At 51.0% G+C, this 6,000-nt stretch overlaps 2 annotated features.

Annotated features, from left to right (window-relative positions):
• Window positions 4,311-4,605: a silencer, noted in NCBI's record as "tiled region #12965; K562 Repressive DNase matched - State 8:EnhW". NCBI's record gives its function as "represses a minimal TATA promoter and a strong SV40 promoter by Sharpr-MPRA in K562 cells {active_cell/tissue: K562}" and the evidence as "EXISTENCE:reporter gene assay evidence [ECO:0000049][PMID:27701403]".
• Window positions 4,311-4,605: an enhancer, noted in NCBI's record as "tiled region #12965; HepG2 Activating non-DNase unmatched - State 8:EnhW". NCBI's record gives its function as "activates a minimal TATA promoter and a strong SV40 promoter by Sharpr-MPRA in HepG2 cells {active_cell/tissue: HepG2}" and the evidence as "EXISTENCE:reporter gene assay evidence [ECO:0000049][PMID:27701403]".

Below are 6,000 nucleotides of genomic sequence, written 5' to 3' on the forward strand. Positions count from 1 at the left end.
ATGCAAGTACCAGTGAATCAGAAAAAAACGGCAGAACCTGCACTTCTGTGGCACAGAGGAGCCTGGTGGCCACAGCACAGGTCTTGCTGATGAAATTGAACAAGAAGTCGAAAACACACAGCCCTGAAAATATCAGGAAGACTCCGAACATGAACTTATTTCCTTGCTGATTAGTGCTGAACTTTGAGCTTTGCTGTAAGTATGCTGTGCTTTGAAGTATTAGCTAATGTCGGTGTGCATATTTCAGTTTAAGGAAACATTCTCGGCCGGGCACGGTGGCTCACGCCTGTAATCGCAGCACTTTGGGAGGCCAAGGCGGGCGGATCACGAAGTCAGGAGATCGAGACCATCCTGGCTAACATGGTGAAACCCCATCTCTACTAAAAATACAAAAAATTAGCCAGGCATAGTGGCGGGCGCCTGTAGTCCCAGCTACTCAGGAGGCTGAGGCAGGACAGTGGGGTGAACCCAGGAGGCAGAGCTTGCAGTGAGCCGAGATCATGCCACCCCACTCCAGCCTGGGCGACAGAGTGAGACTCTGTCTCAAAAAAAAAAAAAAAAAAAGAAAAATATTCCCACTGGGAGTGTGAGATGAACAACAATTTGTATTGATGGGTGTGCAAGATGGAAGGACGTGGCATCTTCCTCTCTAGAAAGTGAACTGGAGGGGCCGGGAGCGGTGGCTCATGCCTGTAATCCCAGCACTTTGGGAGGCCGAGACAGGCGGATCACAAGGTCAGGAGATCAAGACTAGCCTGGACAACATGGTGAAACCCCGTCTCTACTAAAAATACAAAAATTAGCTAGGTGTGGTGGCGTGTGCCTGTAATTCCAGCCACTCGGGAGGCTGAGGCAGGAGAATCTCTTGAATCCGGGAGGCGGAGGCTGCAGTGAGCCGAGATCATGCCACTCCATTCCAGCCTGGGGACAGAGCAAGACTCCGTCTCAAAAAAAAAAAAAAAATGAACTGGAGGAAGCTGGGATCCCCACAGCCATCCAGGGCAAGGCGACGGTGGTAGGGAAATAGAGGCATTGAGGGGTTGGGTTGACAAGGATGGCTGCCAGATGGGAGGAGATGAGTGAGCGTGAGGGCTACCTGTTGCCTCCAAGGGCCAGGGAGGTATACAGCAGGCAACTGGATTTGTGGTCAGGAGATTTATTTTATTTGTTTTTTAGAGACAGGGTGTCACTCTGTCACCTAGACTGGAGTACAGTGGCATGAGATCATGGCTCACTGCAACCTTGACCTCCGAGGCTCAAGCAATCCTCCAGCCTCAGTCATCCAAAGTGCTAGGATTACAGTCATAAGCCACTGAGCCTGGCCACGGAAATTGATTTATTTTAGAGACAGAGTCTTGCTCTGTTGCCCAGGCTGGAGTGCAGTGGTGTGATCATAGCTCACTGTAGCCTGAACTCTTGGGTTGGAGCAAACTTGTAGCTGGGACCACAGGTGGGCGCCACCATGCTCAGCTAATTATTATTTTTTTTCAAGACAGCCTCATTCTGTCGCCCAGGCCAGAGTGCAGTGGCATGATCTCGGCACACTGCAATCACCGCCTCCTAGGTTCAAGCAATTCTCCTGCCTCAGCCTCCCGAGTAGCTAGGATTACAGGCGTTAGCCACCACGCCCAGCTCATTTTTGTATTTTTAGTAGAGACAGGGTTTCACCATGTTGGCCAAGCTGGACTCAAACTCCTGACCTTGTGATCCGCCTGCCTCGGCCTCCCAAAGTGCTGGGATTACAGGCGTGAGCCACCGCGCCTGTCCTACTTTTTTATTTTTAAATTTTTTGTAGAGACAGGGACTCCCTATATTGCCCCAGGCTGGTCTCAAACTCCTGGTCTCAAAGGATACTCCTGCCTCAGCCTCCCAAAGTGCTGGGATCATAGGCATGAGCTGCCACACCCTGCCAGTCTGCAGATTGAGATGTGAGGGTCTTGGGCATTCAAAGTGGTGGAGACCTGGTGTTCATTTAGCATTTGAGGCCAGGCAGATCCAACCCTGTACACTGGCTTTCACGTGACTGGCTGTGTGACCTTGGGTACATGACCTCACTCCCATACCTTGGTTTACTTATCTGTAAAGTGAAGGATAATAATAGGACTTACCTCAGAGGGTTGTAAAGGATTAAATGAGAGCCTGTAAAATCACACAGCACCTGATTCCTAGTAAACACCCAACCCTAGGAGGTGAAAGTTACTGTGGATGGTGGGTGAGGCCAGGAGAGAAGGAGATGGCTCCAGAGGGAGGGAGTGTGGAAGGAAGTCCAGAGAGGGCGCGGCACACAGCCCCAGGGAGGAGCTCACTATACACTGGTGAGCGAAGCAGGCAAAGGAAGTCAGTGGGAAAGTGGGAAGCAGAGGGGAGAGCCAGGCTCGGGGGTGTGGCCTGTCTCCCTGCATGTCAAGATTAGCCAAGCTGTTCCCTGAAGGTTGTTCAAGGTCATAGAGCCAGGAGGGTGGAGCACTGCAGCTGGGATGGGGGACCAAGGCTGTCTGGTTCCAAAGCTGATTCCAGCAGAAGCGCTGCGGAGCTCCACAGTGTGGGTTCAGCAGAAAAGTGGGTATTAAAGGCCAGAGGGCCTGGGCTTGGTCCTCAAGTCCATATTTAGTGGTTATGTGTCCTTAAGCTACTGGGTTTTTTTTTTTAGACAGTCTCGCTCTGTCGCCCAGGCTGGAGTGCAGTGGCAGTGATTTTGGCTCCCTGCCACCTACGTCTCCCGGGTTCAAGCGATTCTCCTGCCTCAGCCTTCTGAGTAGCTGGGACTACAGGTGCATGCCACCATGCCTAGCTAATTTTTGTATTTTTAGTAGAGATGGGGTTTTACCATGTTGGCCAGGCTGGTCTCGAACTCCTGACCTTGTGATCCGCCCGCCTCAGCCTCCCAAAGTGCTAGGATTACAGTCGTGAGCCACCGCGCCTGGCGCTTAAACTACTTTTTTTTTTTTTTTTTTGAGACAGAGTCTCACTCTGTCACCCAGACTGGAGTGCAGTGGCGCAATCTCAGCTCACTGCAAGCTCCATCTCCCAGATTCACGCCATTCTCCTGCCTCAGCCTCCCAAGTAGCTGGGACTACAGGTGCCCGCCACCAAGCCCAGCTAATTTTTTTTTTGTATTTTTTAGTAGAGATGGGGTTTTACGGTGTTAGCCAGGATGGTCTCAATCTCCTGACCCCATGATCCACCCACCTCAGCCTCCCAAAGTGGTGGGACTACAGGCGTGAGCCACCGCGTCTGGCCTTAAACTACTTCTTAATTTTGTTTTTATTTTTATTTTAAGAAACAGGGTCTCGCTGTGTTACCCAGGCTGGAGTACAGTGGCACAATCATGGGTCACTGCAGCCTTAAACTTCTGGCCTCTCACGATCCTCCCGCCTTGGCCTCCTAAAGCGCTAGGATTACAGGCACACACCTGGCTCCTTAAACTACTTAACCTCTCTGAGCCATTTTATCATCTGTAAAATGGGATCCTATTTCATTCCTAGGGTTAGAGAAGGTTTAAATAAAATGGTACTTGGTTAGGAAACTGAAGCTCAGAGGGTAAGCCTGCCACACCCACTGAGCTGAGCAAGATACAAGCCCCAGCCTGGGTCAGCAGAAAGAAGAGGCACCCAGGCCGGGCACAGTGGCTCACACCTGTCCTGTAATCCCAGCACTTTGGGAGGCCGAAGCAGGTGGATCACTTGAGGTCAGGAGTTCAAGACCAGCCTGGTCATCATGGCAAAACCTTGACTCTACTACAAATACAAAAATTAGCCAGACGTGGTGGCGCCCACCTATAATCCCAGCTACTTGGGAGGCTGAGGCAGGAGAATTGCTTGAACCGGGAGGTGGAAGTTGCAGTGACCCAAGATCACGCCATTGCACTCCAGCCTAGGTTGACAGAGTGAGACTCCATCTCAAAAACAAAACAAAAAAATAATTAGCCAGGCACGGTGGTGCGCACCTGTAGTCCCAGCTACTTGGGAGGCTGAGGCAGGAGAAGATTGTGTCACTGCACTCCAGCTTGGGCAACAACAGAGCAAGACTCAAAAAAAAAAAAAGAAGAAGAAGAAGAAGAAGAGGAGGGCACCCAAAGGGACAGGAGATTGGACAGGGGCTGCGCAGGAGCCTCCCCGACGAGCGCCACCCCGCGCTCCACAGCCACCCAAGGGCTGAGGAGTGCGGGTGCACGGCGCGGGACTGGCAGGCAGCTCCAGCTGCGGCCCTGGTACTGGATCCACTGGGTGAAGCCAACTGGTCTCCTGAGTCTGGTGGGGACTTGGAGAACCTTTATGTCTAGCTAAGGGATTGTAAGTACACCAATTGGCACTCTGTATCTAGCTCAAGGTTTGTAAATACACCAGTCAGCACCCTGTGTCTAGCTCAGGGTTTGTGAATGCACCAATCGACACTCTGTATCTAGCTACTCTGGTGGGGACTTGGAGAACGTTTGTGTGGACACTCACTCTGTATCTAGCTAATCTAGTGGGGAGGTAGAGAACTTTCAGTGTCTAGCTCAGGGATTGTAAACGCACCAATCAGCACCCTGTCAAAACGGACCAATCAGCTCTCTGTAAAATGGACCAATCAGCAGGATGTGGGCGGGGCCAGATAAGAATAAAAGCAGGCTGCCGGAGCCAACGGTGGCAATCTCCTAGGCTTTGTGGAAGCTGCGTTGTTTTTGCTCTTTGCAATAAAGCTTGCTGCTGTTCAGTTTTTGGGTCTGCACTGCCTTTGTGAGCCGTAACACCCATTGCGACGGCCTGCAGCTTCACTGCTGAAGCCAATGAGACCACGAACCCGCCAGGAAGAACGAACAACTCAAGACGTGCCGCTTTAAGAGCTGTAACACCGTGAAGGTCTGCAGCTTCACTCCTGAGCCAGCGAGACCACGAACCCACCAGAAGGAAGAAACTCCGGACATGCTGTCTTTAAGAACTGTAACACTCACCGTGAGGGTCTGCGGCTTCATTCAAGTCAGTGGGACCAAGAACCCACGAATTCCGGACACAGAAGTTCCCTCTGTGTTAACATTTACAAGGAAAACCACCCATCTGGGCTGAGCTCAGTGGTTCCCACTTGTAATCCCAGCACTTTGGGAGGCGGAGGAGGGCAGATTATGAGGTCAGGAGACCGAGACCAGCCTGGTCAACATGGTGAAACCCTGTCTCTACAAAAATACAAAAATTAGCTGGCTGTGGTGGTGTGTGCCTGTAATCCCAGCTACTCGGGGGGCTGAGGCAAGAGAATGGCTTGAACCTGGGAGGCGGAGATTGCAGTGAGCCAAGATCTTGCCACTGCACTGCAGTTTGGCGACACAGCGTGACTCTGTCTCAACAAAACAAAAAAAACACCCATGTGCTTTCTGTTCTGTGTCTGTTTCCCTCACTCCTTTTCTGTCTATAAAGGTAGGCTCCTCTGCTCAGCTGGTAAGAACATTCAATTTTATATAATTCTATTTTATAGAATGAGGTGTTGCCTGATTCTAGAATCACAAGTAAAAGCCAGTTAAGTTTTTTTTTTTTTTTTTTTAGATGGAGTCTCGCTCTGTCGCCCAGGCTGCAGTGTACTGGTGTGATATCAGTTCACTGCAACCTCCTCCCGGGTTCAAGTGATTCTTCAGCCTCAGTCTCCTGAGTAGCGGGGAGTACAGGCGCACACCACCACAACCGGCTCATTTTTGTATTTTTAGTAGAGACGGGGTTTCACCATGTTATCAGGCTGGTCTTGAACTCCCGACCTCAGGTGATCCCCCTGCCTCAGCCTCCCAAAGTGTTGAGATTACAGGTGTGAGCCACCGCGCCTAGCCTGCCATTGAAGATCTTTTAACTAAACGTGTTGTAATTTTTTTTGATACTTCTCCCACACCCATTCTCCATCTGGGCCTTTGGAGCCAGACTGCTTGAGCTGGCATCCCCGCTCTGACAGTCCCTAGGTGTGTGCCTCCGTGGTATCATCCCTAGAATGAACATCCTCATAGCACCTTCTTCTTACAGTGCTCTCAGGATTAAATAAATT

The sequence above is a fragment of the Homo sapiens genome, chromosome 17 (genome assembly GCF_000001405.40).
Source record: "Homo sapiens chromosome 17, GRCh38.p14 Primary Assembly".
In the NCBI taxonomy this organism is placed as follows: Eukaryota; Metazoa; Chordata; class Mammalia; order Primates; family Hominidae; genus Homo; species Homo sapiens.